The sequence below is a fragment of the Homo sapiens genome, chromosome 6, assembly GCF_000001405.40.
Source record: "Homo sapiens chromosome 6, GRCh38.p14 Primary Assembly".
Classification (NCBI taxonomy): Eukaryota; Metazoa; Chordata; class Mammalia; order Primates; family Hominidae; genus Homo; species Homo sapiens.
Genome location: NC_000006.12, coordinates 29,901,860 through 29,924,460, shown reverse-complemented (window position 1 = coordinate 29,924,460; position 22,601 = coordinate 29,901,860). Strand labels below are relative to the sequence as shown.

The 22,601-nt window shown below is 44.6% G+C and overlaps 3 pseudogenes; 2 read left to right on the top strand and 1 right to left on the bottom strand.

Annotated features, from left to right (window-relative positions):
* On the top strand, positions 13,061-14,226 carry LOC353008 (HLA complex group 26 (non-protein coding) pseudogene; annotated as a pseudogene).
* Positions 15,816-16,678, top strand: MCCD1P1 (mitochondrial coiled-coil domain 1 pseudogene 1; annotated as a pseudogene).
* On the bottom strand, positions 17,012-17,914 carry DDX39BP1 (DEAD-box helicase 39B pseudogene 1; annotated as a pseudogene).

Genomic DNA, 22,601 nt, shown 5'->3' with positions numbered 1-22,601 from the left:
CAGAATAGATAGGACTGCAGACAAGTGCCACCACGCCCAGCTAATTAAAAAGAAATTGTAGAGATGAGTGTCTCACTGTTTGATCTTGGCTGGTCTCAAATTCCTGGATGCAAGTGATCCTCCTGTGTCAGCTCCTCAGATGTTAGGATTGCAGGTGTGCATTACCACGCCTGGCCAAACAACACCCATTTATCTGTTTATAGTACCTTAGTCAGAAATCTGGGCATGATGTGGATGGAATCTCTGTTCCGGGCTTCCCAAAGCTGTGTTTTCATTTTGAATCCTCCTTCAGGCTTATACAGAGGTGGCAGAATGCAGTTTCTTGCAGTTCTAAGACTGAGGTCCCTGTTCCTTGCTGGCTGTCAATGTAGAGAACAGGGAGGGCTGCGCTCAATTCCTGATGCCCACCAGTGTTCTTCCCTGTACAGCCCCTTCATTTTCAAAGCCCACAGTGGAGGAAACCCCTCATGCTGAATCCCTCTCACACTGTGAATCTCTATGCTCAGGAAGAACCCAATCCTTTCAAGGACTCACCTGATTAGGACAGTCCAAGCAGCATAAACCCAGCCTAAAGTCAACTAATTGAGGCCCTTAATTATATCTGCTAAATCCATTCACAGCAGCACCTATATTAGAGTTGGTTGAATAATGGGGGGAAGGTGAATGACCAGGAGCTTGTTGTTGAGGCCATCATAGAATCAGCCTAGCAAGGGCTGGATCTTCTTTTTGTGTTCACTTGGGACACAGTTGCAAATTGAAGTTCAAGTAAAGTAATCATTGTGAACGGTAATAAAATACATCCTTTTCAGCCATGAAAATTCTCCTTACCTTTTAAAACTAAGTTACATATTTATATCTTTTAATTAATTTAGGCCAGATTTGGTGGCTCACACCTGCAATCCTAGCATTGTGGAAGGCAGAGGAAGGCAGATTTGTTGACTCCAGAAGTTCAAGATCAGCCTGGGCAACATGGGGAAACCCCCATCTCTACAAAAAATTAGAAAATTAGCCAGGCACAGTGGTTCATGATTGTACTCCCAGCTACTCAAGAGGCTGAGGTCAGAGGGTCCCTTGAGCCCAGGAGGTCTACACTGCAGTGCATGGTGATCATGCCACTGCACTCCAGCCTGGGTGACAGAGTGAGACCCTGTCTCAAAAATAATAATAATGATGATGATAAATTTAGAGCAAATGCAAATTAACATGTAATAATACATCCTCTCTTGTGAAAATGTATTAGTTATTTACTATTGCATAACAAATTATGTAAAATGTACCATTTCAAAATAACAAATATTGATCATCTCCCACAGTTTCCAGTTGTCAGGAATCCAGGAGAAGTTTCCCTGAGTGCTTCTTGCTAAGGGCCTCTCACAAGGTTGCAGTCCAGTTGTCAGTCTAGGCCTGCATCATCTGAGGGCTTCACTGGGGCTGAGGATTCACATGAAACATGGATCAGTCACATGGCTGTTGGAAAAGGCCTAGTTCATTGTAATTGGGTCCCAGAAGGCCTCAGTTCTTAGCCAGATGGACCTTGCTGCAGGGCTGCTCATGGCACAGCAGCTGACTTTCCCCAGAGCTCATGATCCCAGAGACAGAGAGAGAGAAGGTGGAAGCTGCAGGGAGTTTTAGGTTCTACACCCAGAGTCACAAGCTGTTATGTCGGCATTGCTCCATCAGAAGTTGTATTAGTCTGTTCTCACACTGCTATAAAGAAATACCTGAGACTGGGTAATTTATAAAGGAAAGAGGTTTAACTGACTCCCAGTTCTGCATGGCTGAGGAGGCCACCCCAGGAAACTTACAATCATGGCAGAAGTGGAAGAAAACCCGTCCTTCTTCACATGGTGGCAGGAGAGAGAAATGCAGAGCGAAGCGGGGAAAAGCCCCTTATAAAACCATCAGATCTCATGAGAATTCACTCACTATCATTAGAACAGCATGATCCAATCACCTCCCATGAGGTCCCTCCTTCAATACTGGGGATTACAATTCGCATGACAATTGAAGATGTGATTTGGGTGGGAACACAGAACCAGGCCATATCAGAAGTGCATCATTAAGTCCAAGCCACACTCAAGAGAGGGAATTCAGCTGCACCTCTGGAAGGGAGCAGTATTAAAGGATTTGCATATATGTTAAAAGCAAAATTCAAACTATTATTTCAGGATTTTTAAGTTAAAGGCTTTTAATCTAATTATTTTTCCTTAACATTTTAATCTTGTCCTTTAATTTAATTTAGTTTAATGTTAAGTTCCAGGGTACATATGCAGGATGTGCAGGTTTGTTACACAGGTAAACGGGTTCCACGGCAGTTTGCTGCACCAATCAACCCATAACCTAGGTATTAACCCCTGCATGCATTAGCCATTTTTCCTAATGCTCCCCCCACCACCGCCCTCCCCCAACAGGCCGCAGTGTGTGTTGTTCCTCTCCCTGTGTCCATGTGTTCTCATTGTTCAGCTCACAATTATAAGTGAGAACATGTGGTGTTTGGTTTTCTGTTCCTGTGTTAGTTTGCTGAGGATAATGGCTTCCAGCTTCATCCATATCCCTGCAAAGGATTTGATCTCATTCCTTTTTATGGCTGCATAATATTCCATGGCATATATGTATCATATTTTCTTTATCTAGTCCCTCATTGGTGGGCATTTGGGTTGATTCCATGTCTTTGCTGTTGTGAATTGTGCTGCAATGAACAAACACATGCACATATCTTTATAATAGAATGATTTATATTCCTTTGGGTATATACCCTGCAATGGGATTGCTGGGTCAAATGGTATTTCTGGTTCTAAATCTTTGAGGAATCACCACACTGCCTTCCTCATTGGTTGAACCAATTTACATTTCCACCAACAGTGTAAAAACATTCCTATTTCTTTACAACCTCGCCAGAATCTGTTGTTTCTTAACTTTTTAATAATTGCCATTCTGACTGGCATGAGATGGTATCTTATTGTGGTTTTGATTTGCATTTCTCTAACGATCAGTGATATTGAGCTTTTTAAAATATGTTTTTTGGCCACCTGTATGTCTTCTTTTGAGAAGTGTCTGTTCATGTGCTTTGTCCACTTCTTAATGAAGTTGTTTTTTTCATGTAAATTTGCTTAAGTTCTTTTTAGATTATGAATATTAGACCTTTGTCAGATCGATAGATTGCATAAATTTTCTCCCATTCTGTAGGTTGTCTCCTTTTCGCTCTGATGATAGTTTCTTTTCCTGTGCAGAAGCTCTTTTGTTTAATTAGATCCCATTTGTCAATTTTTGCTTCTGTGGCAGTTGCTTTTGGCAATTTCATCATAAAATCTTTGCCCATGCCTATGTCCTGAATGGTATTGCCTAGATTTTCTTTCAGGGTTTTTCTAGTTTTGGGTTTTACATTTAAGTCTTTAATCCATCTTGAGTTAATTTTTGTGTAAGGTGTAAAGAAGGGGTCCAGTTTCAATTTTCTGCATATGGCTAGCCAGTTTTCCCAGCACCATTTATTAAATAGCGTTTCCTTTCCCCATTGCTTGTTTTTGTCAGGTTTGTTGAAGATCACATGGTTGTAGATGTGAGGTCTTATTTCTGAGTTTTCTATTCTGTTCTGTTGGTCTATATGCTTGTTTTTCTACCAGTACCATGCTGTTTTGGTTACTTTAGCCTTATAGTATAGTTTTAAGTAGGATAGCCTGATGCCTCCAGCTTTATTCTTTTTGCTTAGCATTCTCCTGGCTACACAACCTCTTTTTTGGATCCATATGAATTTTCAAATTTTTTTTTCTAATTCTGTGATAAGCTTCTCTTTTTAAATTAATGATTAAATGTTTGAGACATGACAGAGCCTTGGGTGCTGCAGAGAAAACAGTTTGAGACAGAGAAAGGAGAAACAACAGTATCTCTGCGTTTCTCTTGTAAATACCTTTAATAACAATGTTTTTCAATAAGTTAACACAGTTGAGAACATAGAGTAACTAGATCAAATAGTTCCAAGACTTCAGTGCCATAAGAATCATGCCTTGAAAATAAGTCTTTGTTTTGTCTAAGATGTCTCAAATTTAGTGGAAGTATGCCCCAAGTGCCAATTTTCTTATTGACATATCATCTTCAGAAAACATTTGCCTACACTTAAAAAAAAATACACACACACTGCTCTGTCTATGGAGTAGCCATTCTTTTGTTTCTTTACTTCTCTAATAAACTTGCTTTCACTTAGAAAAAATTGCATAATCAGATTGCTTCTCATTTACAAAAATGGGAATCTCATACTTCAGTCAACACATCTAGCTTAGCATAATGCCAGTAACTTTGGTTTGATGCAGTAGCCCAAAATGCTTAACTCGAATTGAGAATCAAATTTTTTCCAAAAATGGCTCAGGGGCATTCTATTGTAAACTTAACATTTTTGGGTGTGGTATTGCATGAGATGTGGTAGAAGTGATTTGGACACTACTACAGTTCTAAATAGCACTGCTATTATGTGCTTCTGAAGCTTTCTTTTTTTTTTTTTTAGCTGTCTTATTTTGCTTTCCATTCATATTTGCTATTCCATCACTGGTTGTTCCTTTCTACTCTTTTCTTGTTTCATTTATTTTGATCAGTGATGTGTATTTCCATTTCTGTGAAAGTTTAATTCAGTTGTATGTGTGGTAAAATGTAACACCAAATCCTTTGCAAGAAGGAATTACCTTGCACATCAGATTGAACATTGTATACTTGAAAATCCAGAGAGATGCCAGTGAGCTAAGGATCAAATGAACTATTATTAACCAAGGCCATTTTCATCACATCCTGGTCCTCTCTGTCACATGGCTGCTTACATTTCTCTGTGGTTTTCTTTCAATGTAAGTAGTTCTTGTTAAGGATCCTTGCAATGAACTTTGGTATTCTTTTCCTTTCATTTTTATAAATACCAGGTATATTTTAATTTGAAAACTCTGTTTAACAAATTACAATCATGTAACTAAAAAGATGCCCAACACTGGTGTAAAACACAAACCTGTAAAGCTCCCCTGGGCTGCTGCCCAGTCACATCCCCCAGAGAGAGAGACTCCATCCTGAGTCTTGTGATCCTTATTCCTTTGTATTTCTTTAAAGATTTGCACAATAAGTATATATATATATATGTACATATATATATCCAAAAAAAAATTATTTACTTTTGCTGGTTTTTAAGCTTCCTGTACAGCAAATTCCTACTGCGTTTATTTTCCCATGATGCACATTACGTACAGGAGTTATCTGTGGTGTGGGAGGCTGTCATTCATTCATTTTCACTGCTGAAGGTTTACATTTTATGCCACAATTTCCTATTGATGTATATTTCCTATTGATGTATATGTGGCTGATTCCAGTTTTTGCCATAAACATCAGTGTGCCTGTCTCCTGGGCACATAGGCAAGAAAGCCCGCTAGAGTGTATGGTTAGGAGTGGGAGGGTTGGACGATATGTTGTATGGACTTTAACCATACTAGATAATGATAATATGATTTCCAAGGTGATTGTGTCAACTTAAACTCATGTGTTCTGAAAACACCTAGTTGAAGGAATTGAGTTAAAAGCCACTGTCTTGGCTGCAGAATTATAGCAGGCATTTTTATTCAGACTCTGTTAATAACTTCCTGTTGTTTACTTGTTTCTTATATACCATGGTATTATACTTTTGACATATAGATTCAGAAAATGCTTACTGATAGCACAATCACGTAGGGGTTATTTAATATGTTAGGAAAATTTCATAATAAAAAGGAAAAAATGGAGGAAGGGAGAGAAAGAAGGAGGAATTGAGGAAGGAGTGAAAGAAGAAAAGAAGGAAGGGGAAGGGGAAGAAAAAGGACGGAAAGGAGGAAGGGAGAAGGAGGGTGAGAGATAGAATGGAAGTAAAGAGGGAAGGAGGGACAGAAGGAAAGAGAAAAAGAAGGAACAAAGGAGAAAAGAAACTAAAATAAAGAAAAGAATAGGCGTTGGGAACTGGAAACCCTCTGTATGGCTAATATTATCAAAATAGGAGGAAATAAAATAGACGTAGTTAACCTCTATAGAATAACGGAAATGTAAGAAGGCTGCATTAGTTATCTGTTGCTGTGTAAAACACTACCCCCAAATTTAGTGACTTACAGCAACAAACATTGGTGAACTCAAAAACATAATACAAATACCAGCAAAATGGAGCCAATGCAGGTAGAAGAAGTTGAATAAACAAAAAGATTTTACACGTTGGAATAAGTAAGAGGTCACTGGTGTGCAGACGAAAATGATTTTGTAGTCCAAATGCTCCAAAAAGCAAGTGCCATCATAGGATTAAAGTTACAGCATTTTATTAGGGGACACACCTGTCAGACGATATGGTGAGGGAGGTAGGTTACCCTGGGAAAGGCAATAGAATAAGATGCAAGTGTGACCCCCAGTGATGGAAAGAAGGAAGGAAGGATTACTTAACATGTCCTAGACCACAGGCAATCTAAGGAGAGTTGAGCAAGGCCATGGAGGAGTCCTCCAGCCACAGCTGGCCATCAGAGGAGTCCCCTGTCTTCCAGGAATGTCCTGCCTTAGTGTCACTGGTGTGACCCATCACTGGTTGGGAATAGTCCATGGGAAGCAGGGCCTCAGCACCAATGCCACTGAGGATGTCAGAGCACAGGAGCACGGCCTTGGAGGATTACCCAGGAGTGTGACTCAAACCTTCTGCCCTGATGGGTCTGGGCCCTTGGAAATCAAATCCTCTCAGGCTGAATTGCTGGATAATTCTACTCACACTTGCAATGGGGTGAGGGAAAACAGAAGGCCCCCAGGTGGATCTCTGGTTTCCACACTTCTGCCTTTATTGTGTGAAAGTAGCCATGCCTCCTCCTGGGGATGAGGATCTATTACCTGGGCCTGGAGAGGAGGAGACTCCTCTTCTCACCAGGTGGTCTCTGGGCATATACTGTCCACACTTCTCTGGTGACACACTTAATGTGTAGTTCAGTGGGCTGTCTTTTGTCTGCTTTTAAGGGTACCCTCCTTTGCAAACCAGGACCTCGTACCCTGCACAGCCCAGTGTTCTGAGATAAAACATGTCAAATACCCCATTACGTGAATCTAAAACATTAGACATGGAGCCATACTTGCTTCCACCGTTTGATTTCTGGACCCACATGTTCTTCCTCTTGCGAACACAGAACTGTAGAGACATCTCTGATTTAAACAACGCACCATGTCCTGAAAGATGGCATGCAACCCTCAGAGTGTTTCCTCCAGGCTGGCACTTAGTTGTGCCTGTGGAAGATCACGGGACTCCAAGCAACTATGTGGTTCCAAGTGCCTGTGTGACCCAGAAAGTCATAGATTGCACAGGCCAAACAGCATTCATCATGAGGTGAAAATGGTCCACCTGGGTTGAGCTTGAATCCCATGTTGACACCCACAGAAAACAGCCAAGTCTGAAGTGTCATTAAACAACGAAACAGACAAATGGAAGTTAGCCAGCCTTCACTATGGGTCAGCCCATGCATGATAGGATGGGCACATGAATGGAACAACCACAGTGGCAGGTGTGAGGCTACATATGGGGCATTCCTTGTGGCTGGCAGCCCCTGGGGAGAGTAGCTGGTGATAGGGTTAGTGGAAGGAACAGCCATGGAAACACTGAATCTTTCCCTTGCCAAGTGGGTCCTTCAGGCAGATAATGGGCTAGGAGCACAACCTAGCCTGCAGACCAGGAATGTCAACAGCATCCAGAGAATGGTACTGGCTATGTCTGAGAGCAGGACAGAAAAACCCCCCTAGAATAGGTACCTAACCCTGTGAAGATGAACCTCTGGTCCTTCCAGGATGGAAGTAGGTAAATGTAGTCAACTTCTTAGTTAATGGCTAGTCACCTAAAGAAATAGTGCCCCACTAGGGCATATCATGGGCCTAAAATGCTGATGAGTTGGACATTCAGAGGTGGCAGCAGCTGGATCTGCCTTGGTAGGGGGAAGTCAGTGCTGCTGGCCCTCATGCCTGCCACTGTGGTTGCTCCATTCATGCACTCATCCTACCAGGCCTGGGCTGACCCATGGTGAAGGCTGGCTAACTTCCATTTGTCTGTTTGGTTGTTCAGTGCCACTTCAGACTTGGGTGTTTTCTGTGGGTGTAAACGTGGGATTCAAGCTCAACCCAGGTGGACCATTTTCACTTCATGATGAATGCTGTTGGGCTTGTGCAATTTATGATGTTGTGGGTCACAAAGGCACTTGGAACCACATAGTTGCCTGGTGTCCTGTGGTCAAGCTTTCTATCAAATCAGGACAAGGAACACTAAAAGTTGCTTCTAACAGGGGGCATATGTCTCTGCTGTGGATGATACGATCTTACTCCAGAATCCCAGGCCCTTCACTGTGACTCTTCCACTGGTGCTTGGTTCAGCTCCATCCTGCATCTTTCCCCACCACTGGCACCACCAGCCCCAGGGGGTCTGAGGGACGCTGGCTGCTCGCACCATGGCCTGGATCTGCTGCAGGGTCCTTTCCTGTGTAGGCCCTACTTGAAGCTGGCCTCCTCCTATATCACCTAGAGTGTTTGCCAAAGCACGTACCTAGATGTGGAATGTGGTGTTGTCAGAACTCAAAGAGGCTCATCAGGCAGTGTGCTTCCTTCCTTCTGGTGAGGATGCAAGATGAAACAGTTTGTCTTTTACCTTGGAGGGAACACACCTGCATTCCCCTAAACACTTGGCACTTGTTAACCCATAAAACTTCACTTCAGTGGCCACTCTTGAAGCTCTGTAAGGTTTATCTTCACATACTGGAGTGCGTGTGTTTTGCCAATGACTCCAGTGCACTTTCTACCTGCTGCTCATTCACCGCAGTCAACATGAAGTTGTCAGTGAAATGAGCTGATTTAATATCCTATAGAATATCCAGTATGTCTAGTATTGTCTTTAGACCATACTATATAGGGCAGGGGAGTTACAATAGCCCTGAGAAAAAACTATAAATAAATGTGTTGTGGATCCCACATGGATGTGAATCGCTCCATATCCCCTTTCTAATTGGAGTGGAAAGAAATGCACTCACCAAATCCATAGCTGCACGCTGTGTGCCCGAGGCTTTATTATTCTGCTCTGCAGTGATATCCAGACAACATAAAAGCTGCAATTATAATTCCTGCTTGGCCAGACCTGGAGTAATCTCATTCATTCTTTAGTCCTCATCAGGGTTCCTCAGGGACAGGTTGCTGGATTATGTAGAGACAATAGACAACCCCAACACCATCCCACATCCTTCAGCTCTCTAATGGTGGTGTGACTCCCACATTACTTTCAGTGTCTTCCTCAAGACACACCCTGGGACACACTATGATTTTTTTTTTTTTTTTTTGCCAGGATGTGGGCAGCGTCAGAGGTTTCCCTTTGGCTTTCAGCACAATGAGAGTCCTGACTCCACAGACTAGGGACCCAGTGTGGGGGTGACTCCACTTAACAGTGCATCAGTGTCAATTATGTACTCAGGGAATTGGAAGATAACCAGGGCTGGGTCTATGGAACCAGTAGTTCCATTGTGGGCTGTAATGTGTCCAGGTTTACTCCCTGACCTCCGTAAGCCCCACTGTGATGGGAGACATGATAGTGCTGTGGGCATCTGGGCATCAATGTCAGCTCTCACTCAGTGTCAATAATCTGACCAGTTCTGCATCTTTCCTTTCGCCAGTGTACAATCTCCTGAGTAAATGGCTATAGGTTCCTTTGCTGAAGGACTGAGGGAATTGTGCCAGCATTTACTTCCACGGGGTTGCAGGGTATTCCTCCTAGGGATATGGACTCCTCCTCTGTCACTGGGATCTGAATCTGAACTTTGGCTGAGGTCTAGGCATTGAGGATGGGATCATGACTTTGTATTGGGTCAAACACCTTCACCCTCCTGCTTCTCAATTCTTGCTTTCTTATCATAGATATCAAGCAGCGCCCTTGTTGGCTTCCTGTCCTAATCCTGGGACAACACCCTCTACTATCCTTCCCCACATTCCCTGCAGCTTGAGTCCTATTGGCTACTCCTTTTAGTTTGCCATAGTAACTCTGCCCTCTGGCTTTTTCAGGTCACTGCCACCATTTGGTCTTTGTGTCTTCAGGGCCACACTCTCCCCAGGGTTATTAATAAATGTAACTCTGGGTCATCTTTACTACCATCACATCCAGCCTGCAGAGGACAACACCCCGACACTTCTTAATGATGCAGGTCCCTCTCACCATCACGTTTCTGAGGCTCTGGTGGAAGGTGTTTCCTTTGGACTGTCTTGTGGAGCATGGTACTGGTGGGCCTTCACCATGCCCACTTCCCTCAGCCTTGTTATTCCATCCTGTGCAAGTTCCAGGGCAACTAAGTCACGTCTACCTTGTTGAGAGTTAGGCATCATTTTTTCTAGTCTATATGGATTCACCCCAGCGGTGGGTTTGGCCCCCCGCTTATCAAAGTCCTGGGGTGTTTGATAAACCCATGCCTTGAGAAAGTGCCTCCAAGCCAAAGGATTTTTATTCTTCCAGATTGAAATTCTGGTTCCTTGATCAAACACCCTCAAATTCCAATCCCAGAAGTGCTCCTCAGCCTCCTATGGGGACGTGCCAGCTAGTTCCTGCAAAGCTCTTCAGTGGGATTCCTGCTGTATCATGGGGGTGAGACTTCTGTAGCATCTTCCAGCATAGGAAGTGGGAACCATTACTAGAGAAGGGTGAGCCTCCTATGCATGCCCAGAGGATCCTGGAGGGCACCCATCGGATAACCCTGTTCCTGTTTGCAGAATCTCAGGTTTCCCCACCAGGGTCCTGACTTTCCTGTAACAGGCCTGCCTTGGCTGAGTGGCAAACCTCTCTGGAGCACTGTGGCCCTCATAATGATGTCTTCAGCTACCATTCCACGGTATCTGCCCTTTCGCTACAAGAGATAAAGACCTCTGCATGAGACACTGCAGAGGCTGTCACATGTAGCCAGTGACAGCTGTTAACAATCTGCAGATTCTCATGATACTTTCATAGGGCATCATTGCAGCTGAGCAGCAACCAGCCAACTCCACTGTCTTTGTAGGTTTCCCCCTAACCCCGTCATTATTGTGCAGGGCATTCTATCACCCCACCTGCCATAGCTTCCCCTAACCAGGGCATCCTCTCAGCTCAGCACGGGTGAGACCCATAGCAGCTCAGCTGCATCCTGTGCTATGGAATTTCTGTGTCTCCCACAACCCTGGTGGCATCCTCTTGGCCTGCCAGGCAGTGGGCAAGCTTTTTTCAAATTCTCATTTTTGCCTGTTTTCATGGATCACCCTTCATACTACTTGTGTTAGTTAGGGTCCCCTGAGGAGCAGACCCCAATACAGTATTCAATGTGCAAGGATTTATTGGAGGAAATAGTTATGAGAGAAATTCAGGACACAGACGGAAAATGCTGGGAATGTCATCAGACCACAAAGCAACTCTGAACCCCAGTGAGGTAAACAGTGCAGGAAGGTCAGCTGGAAGCATCCTAGACCCTGTGCAGGCTAACAGAAGTTCAGTAAGCGTGGCAGGAAGCCCTAGAGCTTCAGTCAGCCTTCAGAGAAGAAATGTTCCTGCCTTAGTTTCTGCCCTGCTTTCCTCAGTCATTGGCAGGAAAAGACAGGGGGCAGGTGTGGTCTCAGAGCAAATGTGGCAATAGGTTTCAGGATTCAAAAGTTGAGGCCACTATCAATTCTGCTTACTCTAGCTGAGGGGCTGGGATGTGCATTCTCATGACTGCCACAATGATCCAGTGGGGAGAGAGGAAAAAGGTTGATGATAAAGAGAAAAAAAGGTATTAATTGATGAACTGACACCTTTAAGTAGATGATAAGGGATGATGTTTGGGGCACCAGAAGAGGGATTGGCTCTGGCTGGGAGCAGAATGGTTTACCCACAACAGTCCCCGACATGGTAAAACACCTGACATGTGTTGCAGCTGCAAATGCATGAGCAGATGGTGATGGAATCTGTCTTCTAATGTGTTCAGTTTTCTCAGTGAGGTAGGAACCAAGGTTGTCAGCTGAGATAAGAATGGGGAAGGAGGGTTGGATGTGTGAGCACAGAGAGAAGGTGTGTAAGGGTCACCTAGGCCAGGAGGAGGCTGAGGGTGAGCCATGCAGGGAGAGGGTGATTGCTGGCCCTGGTGGGGGCTCCCCATGTGGTTTGGGTCATGAAGTTAGAGAAGACACCAACGATGAGGGACAGTGAGTAGATGGCAGAATCACTGGATTGGTATTCCCAGGGTGGGGGTCGAAGGATTGTTGGAATTGATGTGCTAAAGGGTGGACTTCAAGCCTGGAATGCAGGCACATATGCAATGAGTAGTCACTGATATTACCTCACAGCATATGATAAAGTGATAGAGTCTGTGTCCTCAGAGCCTGTGGCCACCTTGCATGGGATGAGTGGAAAGATGGCCAGAGAGTGGGAAGTGTGAAATTGAGAGTATGGAAGGGCTGGGGTCCTTGGGCATGATGAGGCCTAGGGGATGACAGGGGCATGAGATTCAGGCAGAGAGAGGAGAAGGTCATGGAGGAGAGGAGTTCCAGGATCTGAGAGTCCAGGGAGCAAGGGCATCTTCTCTGCTGTATAGGTGTCTATTGCTGCCATAAAAATTACCACAAACCAAGTGGCTTTAAACAGCACCTAATTATCATGTTACAGTCCTGTAGGTTGCAAGTCCGCACAGTCTTATGGGGCTAAGGTCAAGGTATGGGCAGGTCTGTGTTCCTTCCTGGGGACTCTGGGGAAGAATCCACTTCCAAGCTCATTCAGGTTCTTGTCTGAATTCACTTTCTTGCACATAGAACAGAGGTTTCCACTTCCTTGTTAAGAGCCACCCTTAGCTCCTAGAATCTTCTTTCAGCTACTCACACATGGTGCCTAAGGCACATCCAATCCTCCTGCTTGGAACGTCTGACCTCCCCTCTTCTATGTCTCCTCTGCCTTCCTCCTCTGCAGAATCTGACTCCAGCCAGGGCAGGTTCTCTGCTTTTAGTGGCTCATTTGATTTGATTGGGGCCACACAGATTGTCCAGGAGAATCTCCCTATTTTAAGGTCCTTAATCATCATTACATGAGTAAAGTCCCTTTTACCATGTAATGCAACCTGTTCACAGGTTCCAAGGACTAAGACTGGACCTCTTTCGGGACCATTACTCAACCCACCACATGTTGAAGTCATCAACAGTCAAGGAGACTGCTGGAGAGGGTGACAGTGAACCAAGAGCTACAAGAGTCAGGATTGAGAGGAAAGGCCAGGGGCCCACAGGGAATGGCTACAATGAGGGGAATGGGGGTCTAATCTGATGACAGCTTAGGGGTTTTAGGGAGGAGGGAGGCAGAAAGTTCTGAGAACCACAGTGAGGAGAAAGGACCCCACCTCACCTCTGAACCCAGGGGTACAAGTCCATGGGGGAAACTCCCCTATGTGGGAGGACTTTGGAGGGGGTCATGTCCTCAGGGAGACCAGGTTGCTGCTGGAGCTGTGAGGTGCAGGAACATCCTGAGGGAGGGTGTGGAGGTTTTGCTGATCATTGACTGAGATTCCAGGGGGTGCACTGGGAAGATTTCTGTGGTTCAGGAGGTTGGGGAGACAGAATAGTGGTGTTCAGAGCCTTGTGGGGATGTGAGTGCAGAGTATGTGGGGGACCCAGTGTCACTGACACAAACAGGGAAAGGACATGATGAGCTGAGTCCTGGTGGACTCGGCGCAGACAATGGTGCTGAGGCTGTGGGAGATGAGGGAGGAGGAGCAGGGGTGGCTCTCACCTGGGCTCTGTCCGTGGAGGTGAGGACAATGAGGTGGTTGTGTCTCAGTGCTGTGTGGAACTTGTTTTTGACCTCCTTATGAGTGGATGGTCTGTCTGAGATAGAACGGGTCTTAGAGGATTTACTCATTACCCTGAGAGAGGGGGCGTGTTCATTCCAGGTTTCAGGTCTGCCCTGACACCTTTCTTTGTGGCTTAGACCTCCCTACTGTAAATTATTGGGTGTTAGTCCATTCTGGAGTTCATAACTTAAAGCAGAAACTCAGATGGTTGAAATGTCATTTTCATGAAGGATTTTTATTAGAGTATCATTTAGATTGCCTTTGCAACCTCCCATGTGTTTTGTTTTTTTTTCTAAAAGGCTGCTAATCTTGTTTTAAATTTGCAATGTAGTTAATTTATCTTCACTGTTAATTAGTTGTGGGTTGTTTAACCTTATACCATATAGTTTTACATATCTATAACAACAGTAGTTTGGGCCTCTTGTATTCTAATAGTTAAGTCCTTAAGCTGTGTACACATTGCAATTCAAGTATGAGTCATGCATAACCGTAGCACTAAGAGACAAGAGGGAAATCCCTCTCTCCTAAAATTTTGCAAAAGTTCTGGGTTTTTTTTCCACTGAGTGGGAACAAGTCAGCTAATCATGAACATGAGGTCTTTGGCCTCATTTAAAGGTGCTTCAGAAGCACTGAGCCATAGGAAGGCCTCTTTGTCTAGGTCCAGGACCCTACACCATGGCAGAAGCCATCTTCCATCCCAGTGTGCAGTGATGTCCCAGATAGCGAATTGGTTAGCCACTTTTCAGTCTCAGGCAGTTTTGTTTTCCAAAACATGGGTTTTTATCTCAGGACCTTCTTGTCCCCAGATGATCAAAACCGGGGCCATCCACTCCCTTCTGAGCCACTTCTGCCTGGGGGGCCCGTGGCTGTGTCCTCCAGTCACAACAGAACATTCCTTCAGAACACCTGCAGGAAGACAACATCTTGTCATTGGCTCACACATGCACGGTGCATGCACAGAGCTTTGGTTCTAGTTCAGGAGGTGTGTGGGGAGGAGGCTCACTAGTCCAACAGAGCTTGGTACCAGTGTCGTATGCCAGGAGCCAAGGTTACAAGGATGCAAAGTTCCCAGACCTACCAGAGAAGGCAAACCCTTGCAGCATGCAGGGCTAGACAGGGGCAAGAAACAAGGTCATTCCGGGCCAGCAGGAAGAGAGAAAGGGAAACTACAGACGTACCTCAGAGACACTGCAGATTTGGTTTCAGACCATGGCAACAAACAAGTCACACAAATTTTTGTTTTTCCAGTGCATAGAAAAGTTATATTCACACTCTACTGTAGCCTATTAAGTGTATGATAGCATTATGTATAAAAGAACTATGTATATACCTTAATTTAAAATTACTCTATTGCTCAAAAATGCTAAGGATCATCTGAGGCTTCAGCTAATCTTAATCTTTTTGCTGGGGCACGGTCTTGCCTCAATGTTGATGATTGCTGGCTGATCAGGAGGGTGGTTGCTAAAGGCTCTTATGGCAACTTCTTAAAATAAGACAATGAAGTTTGCGGCATGGATTATAAAGGGGGAATCAGTACTTAAGTAAGGTCAATATAAGTTTTCAAGTTAGGTGGACCTGAATATGAACCCTCCAGGCCTTTCCACCAACTAGCTATAGAGCCTTGGACACATCTTGGCCATAGCTGGCCCCGACAGACACTCTCCCAGCGGGTGAGTGCTCAATGAACCCATCTGAGCCAGTTGCCTCACCCAACCAGTGATATAATTCCTTCCTTGCAGAAGAATAAGTGAAAAAAGGCACAGTGCCAAGAGAATCAGACACACGACCGGCGGAAGGCTGTGCCAGTGCTCTAAAGCAAGTTCTGCCTAAAGCGGCAGAAACATTTTTCACATTAGGAACAGGAGTTGTTTGGGATCCTGTCTGGGGCCAGGTTGAGAGCAGAGTAGGAGTGGGGGCCTGGGTAGGGCCAGGCACTGGAGTGAAGACAGGCCTGGAGAGAGCCTCCTGAAGGCTGCTGAGCGGCTCAGACAGCTCTTTGCCTCACCTGCCACAGTCCTCCCACTCCCCTGGCTCTCTCGGTGCTGTTTTCTTCACCTCCTCCTGCCCTCCTGGTCCCTGGCACCCCAGGGCTCATAAACATGCTGCTCCCAAAACTCCAAGGCAAGTATGGAAGGGCAGAACAGCTTCTGGGACAGTGGGAAGATGAGGCCACCCCCTAGGTGGCTCCAAGTGCTCGGGTGGAGGAGATGAAGGGATCAGTACAGTAGTCGGGGGAAATTCTCTCAATCCCACCCTGCACTACCCTCACCTCTGCAGCTTTTTGCCTATTTCCAACTCTCAGCTCCTTCCACCCCCACCCCAACCCAGCCCTCCGGGCTCCCTCTCTCCAGCCCTCCCTCTGCCCAGAGCAGCACAGTCCAGAGTCCTTGAACAGGAATTCCCCCTCATCTAACAGTTAATCATTTATTAGTGGGGACAGACACCTGGTCGTCTCTTTCCAGTGACCCCACATCCTCATTCAAGGCATCCAGATATAGCCCCTGAGCCAGGGATCTGTATCTGCCCTCCAGAGGCCTATGCCCAGGACAGGTTGCTCCCTGGGATTCTCAGTACAGGTGGACTTAAGCTAATGGGCTGGAAAAAGAGAAAACAACGTCGAATTCCTCACTTACCATGAGATCTTGCAACACAGGTTCCAAGGGCCTCAACCCCTCTACCCTGGCTGATGTTCCCTCCTCCACTCCCTCTGACCAGGGCCCTGAGCCCCCCACACAGCTGAGCTGGCCCAAGCCGAGGAGTTGCTTGCACAGCAGCTGGAGTTGGACCAGGCCCTCCTGGAAGGGAAGGAGTGGGTGGGGGCCCGGGCCCTGGTGCTCAAGATCCAAAAGCTAAAGAAACAGATGAGGAGGCACTGAGAGAGCCTGGGAGGAGAGAGCCTGGGAGGGGACAGCCAAGCTTCCCAGCAGTGCCCACAGCACCCTCCATGCCTGGAACTAATGTGCACCACCCCCCAGGAACCCCAGGATCAGAAACACCCCAGCATCTCCCAGGCCAGAGAAAGCAGAAGAGACCCCACAAAGGGCTGGCAATTGGCAGGTAGTGGGGGAGCCAGGGCTCTGCAGTCTTAGTCCCATCCCTCTTTGACCTCACAGCAGGGCACCAAGGCCTTGCAGGAATTTACCCTGGGCCATGCCCTAAAATAACCTCACCCCAAATAAAATAAAGGGAGAGAGCACCCACACATAATGCAGAGGCACTTGTGTTTCATTTTTAGTTATGTTAAAAATTCTGACAATCAGGAATGGGGGTTCAGGAGTGGTGCTGAGGCAGAGGACAGAAGCCAGGGGGTGGGGGAAGAGGATGTCAGGGGTGGGGTCAGTAGAGTCTCCTTCACCCCCAACCTGCAGTCTCCTCCTGAAGCGTGGTCACATGCCAGAATGGGCTAGTCCCCTACTGTGTCTGTTCAACTGAGGGGAAAATGTGGCATGGTGAGAATAAGGCATGAAAAGGAAAAAGTGAGGCAGGAACACACAGCACACATGCAGATGCTGGTGTACTGTGTGGATTTAGAGGACAGACTTGGGAGTGGGGAAAGAGATGTAATATGATGAAAGAAAACAGATACCCCACATAACAGTCAGAAAAACATCCCAACACAGCATCAAAGACCAGGGTGCATGAACCAGCCAAGTGTCCATTATGCATCAGGTGCCCATGACAGGATTGAAGACAAACATATTAAGGAACTAGGAAGACCTAAAGGGCTTCATGACATCAGCACTCACTGTGGAGGAGATGTCTGTCTCATCAGGCAGCTCACTATCACTCACCTCAAAGCGATGCTGCCCATACTGAGGATTCTGGCATTATTGTCACCTGACACAAATGTGATGGTCAAGCCCTGTGCCACCTGGAAGGGGATAGAGGGTAGGATAGGACTAGAAGACCCAAAGAGGGAAGACTCCCAGAGGGAAGGATGAGGATGTAAAGTGTGAAAAGATACAGAAAGTAAGGAGGTGGGAGAGTGGGTGTCCCTCTGGGTGTGGGGCTTAACTGCTGCAGGTAGGTCTCAGAATCCTCATGCATGTCGTAGGTAAAGGCAATGCTCATCTGCTCCATGTCCATGGCTCAGCCAAATAAGTTGGTAGTCAACAAATTGATCTTATCTTTTGGGGTCATTCTCCAGCAAGTGCAGAACAGTAAAAAAATGTAGTCACCTGAGGTGCATATCTTGGCTTCCTGGCCAGTTTTCCCAAGGCCTCCACTGCCACCATGCACCCTGGGTGCCCTCCACACTCTCCAAGTGTCCTGATGTGTGTGAGGAGTTAAGGGCAGGAAGAACTATTGGATCGTGGATTTAGGTGCCTTTTTCCACCTCTGCAGGTGGCAAGGTGTGGATTCATAAGCTGGCATTGAAGTGAGCTCTGTCCTTTGTGAATAGTTGTTTGGTCACCCACAGTCATGGCTGAGCCCTGAGAATAAGAGAAACTTGTCTAGAAAAAGAAATTGTGCTGACTCTTAAATAAACATTTCTGGTCTGTGTTTTATTTCAAGTGTCTGGGAAGGGATAGAGTGTGAGGTTCAGGAGAGAAGGAGAGGTCTGTCTTGATGCTTTGACACAGCACCAAGAAATTTCCCCTCCTCCCCCACATCGCCCCGCCAGTTCTCAGTGAGGGACAGATTCACAGCAGTACTGAAAGGGCTGGGAAGAGATGGGGAGACATCTGGGGCCAATGTTCAGGGGTTGACCCTGTGGGAGGACACCTGCCTTCAGAGTTAGAGCCCACATGTGATGACGTAGAGATGAAGGGTGATATCAGGGAGGTGATGAAGAGTGCTTTGGGGTTTCCTGATTATGAAGAGCAGAGGTCAGTCTGCTTCCTGGGTGAAGTGACTGCTGGGGAGATTGGATCGAATTAATGAAGAATAAATAAACGGGGAATGAGGATAAGCAAGCATCAGCATCTCCCACCATCAGTTCAGACTGAGGGGAGTTTGGATTGAATTAATGAAGAATAAATAAACGGGGAATGAGGATAAGCAAGCATCAGCATCTCCCGCCATCAGTTCAGACTGACTGGGGAGGTGGGATAGTTATTGACTCTGTTGCGTGGTTCCCCCTAACTTCCTGGTCTTGGGGCACAGATGGGTGGTGCTGTTCCTGGTCAGGGCAGCCTCAGCTCCACCCAGGTAAGGCAGTGGTGGCAGAGAGAGTTAGAGGAGCACCTGTGAAACCGACCAAGGCAGGGATGGGAGCCCTCTGTGCAGCAGGAGTGGATGCAGGACCTGCCTGGAAGCAAGAGGATGAGGGAACCTAGTTGGGTCCTGTTCCCTGCCTGCCTGTGTTCACAGGGTAACCAGTAAGGGAGCTGGGGTAGGGAATTCTTTCATAGGTTATCTAGCCAGAGATATGTTTATAGACATATTCTTTCATGTTTATATTCAGGTTTGTTGTCACATAGACATTTATCCATGCGTGTTTTATGTTTGTTACTTTAGAATGGCTCAGTCACAAAAGCTTAATCTCTTCATTCCTGCTGCCTCTCTACACACACATACACACACATTCACACACATGCTATGCAAACATGTCTACCTGTATCTATAAAGAGAGATGTTATTTTATTTTTAAATTTTTAAATTCGTATATATTTATGGGGCACAGGTGCAGTTTTGCTACATTGCTATATTGAGTTGTGGTAAAGTCAGGGCCTTCAGTGCATCCAGCACTGGAGACAGATACATTGACCCCAACAAGAAACTCCTCTACGATACACCCACTGCCAACCACTCTTACCCTTCTGGGTCTCTATTGTCTATCATTCCACACGCTGCTTTCATGCATATAAAGAGATATTAATCAGATATATCAGAGTGATAACTTGAATTTTACTGCACTATTCTTTCAGCTTCTTTGCACATTTGAAAATATATACAATTATAAGTTGGAAGAATGAGGGAAAAAAAAGAGCGAGAGAGAGTGCTGAATCTGAATAGGCTAGGGGTTGGGTCTCACTAGGAACCATAATTGATCTCTGCCATTTTGAAAGTATGGCCCCCTGAGCTGCCTTCAGAGAGTCCTGGAGGGAAACCTGTTTTCACAGTAATACCAAGATGCCATTTGCCTGTTTCATTATGTTGACTTTTCCATTAATGCTGCAAATGCCAAGGTCGGTAGCACACCCAGCACCTTAGCAGAACCAAGGCAGTGGCTCCAAACTGCAGTCCCATTTAAGAATGCCTTTGATGGAGCAGTAAAATATTTATGTTCATTAAATTTTGATCCTTGAGTACATGTCTTTAATATTCTTTGTGAGAAAATGGGAGATATGCAAAGAGAAGCAGGATAGTAGTCTTGAGAAAGGGCACTTGTGTAGACTCAGTTATGAGTTCAACCAGCAGATCTCCTTCACCCACTGAAAGACAATTGCATTATTTCCAGTTTATGGAAGTAATTATGAATAATTACTTCCAGGAGTATTATGAATAAAGCTGCAAGAGTATTTGTATACAGGTTTTTCATGAACATAAAGTTTTCCCTTGTTTGAAATAAATGCCTAGGAGGGCAATTGCTAGTCATATGGTAAATTGCATGTTCAGTTTGAAGAAAACTGCAATATCCATTTCCAGAGTGGCTGTACCATTTTAAAATCCATTCCTACCAGCAATATGAATGATCCAGTTTCTCTGTAACCTTGCCAGCATCTGTTGCTACCTTTATTTTGTATTTCAGCCATTCTCATCACTGCAGTTTTCATTTGTATTTTCCTACTGGATAGTGATGTTGAGTGTCTTTTCATCTGCTTGTTAGCCTGGTGTTTATCCTCTTCAGTGAAACGTCTGTTCATGTCTTGCTCATTGCCTATTGTTTATTTGGATTTCATTTTTACTGTTGAGTTTTTACATTTCTTCATATATTGTGAATGCAAGTCTTTATTGAATATGTGGTTTGCAAATATCTTCTCTCATTCTGTAGCTTGTCTTTTTATGCTCTTCATAGGTCTCTCACAGAGCAACAGTTTTAATTTTGAAAAGATCCAGTTTAGTAACTTTTTCTTTTACGGATCATACTTTTGGTGTTATGTGTAAGAACTCTTTGTCTAGTCTTAGTTCTGATGGCTTTTTGTTAAAAGATTTGTAATTTTAATTTTTTAATGTATTTGTTATTTATTTAAAAAAAAATCTTGCCTAGGCTGGCCTTGAACTCCTGGGCTCAAGGGATCCTCCCACTCAGTCTCCTGAGTAGGTGAGAGTACAGGCCTGTGACACCACACCTGGCTCAATGTTTGTAATTTTAACTGTGTGTTTTACATTAAAGCCTGTGATTCATTTTGAGGTTTTTTTTTTTTTTTTTGTATAAAGCGTGAGGTTTGGGCTCAGCTTATTTTTTTTCCACTGTGGTTGTCCAGTTGCTCCAGCACCGTTTGTTGGGAAAGCTCTCCTTCCTTCATTGAATTGTTTTTGTGCTTTTGTAAATGTCAGTTGAGCATATTTGTGTGTTTTGCTCATTTTCAGTTGAGTTGCTCATCTTCTTACATTGAGTTTAAGAACTTGCCACATTATTCTGGAAACATGTTTTTCAACACAAATGTAATTTGTGATAAATTGTGAAATATTTTCTCCCTGTCTATAGCTTGTCTTCTCATTCTCTCAATGTCTTTTGGAGCACTCAAGTTTTAAATTTTAACTAAGCCCAATTTCTCTCTCTCTTTTTTTTATTTGTAGATCATGCTTTTGGTATTTTAACTAAGAATCTTTTGCCTAACTACCCAAAGTAACAAAAATTTTCTCCTGTATTTTCTTTTAGAAATTTTATAGTTTTAACTCATAAATTTTAGCTGTTTAGGTCTCTAATTTGTTTGAGCTGATATTTTATATGGTGTTAAATGTAACATTGTGTTACCTATGCAACTTCATTGAAAATCAACTGACAAAAAAAGTAAGAATATCTTTCTAGATTCTCACTTCTGTTCATTGATCTCTGTGTCTCTCAGTTTCACACTGTCTGGATTATTGTAGTTTCATATGACATTCCATTTTTTTTTCCAAATTTGTGTTGGCCCTTCTGCATCCTCTGCATTTTCATATACATTTTTAGGATTATTTTGTCAATTTTCTTTTCTTTTTTTCTTTTCTTTTTTTTTTTTTTTTTTTTTGAGACGGAGTCTCGCTCTGTCACCCAGGCTGGAGTGCAGTGGCACGATCTCCGCTCACTGCAACTTCTGCCTACCGGGTTCATGCCATTTTTCTGCCTCAGCCTCCCGAGGAGCCTGCCACCACGCCCGGCTAATTTTTTGTATTTTTAGTAGAGACGGGGTTTCACCGTGTTAGCCAGGATGGTCTGGATCTCCTGATCTCATGATCCGCCCGCCTCAGCCTCCCAAAGTGCTGGGATTACCGGCATGAGCCACCGCGCCCGGCCTATTTTGTCAATTTTCTATAAAATCCCTGCTGGGATTTTGATAGGGATTGTGTTGAACCTATAGATCTACTGGGGGAGAACTGCCATCTTAACAGTATTATCGAGCTTTCCAACTCGCATCTCTCCATTTATTTAGACCTTTAATTTCTCTGAGGAATGTTTTTTTATTTTCAGTGAACAAACACTGCTGTCTTCCTAAATTTATTCCTATTTCGCTCTTCTGGTAACTACTGTGATAGGAAAGTTGAGATTTTCATTGCTTCTATAGAGAAATATGTTAATAATTAATTTTTATATTGATTTGATATCCTATGGGCCCTTCTGGATTCATTTATTAGTGCTAGCCAGTTTTTATCTGCTTGTGAATTCTACAGACAGGGTCATGTTATCTGTGAATAGAATTGTATGTTTTCCTT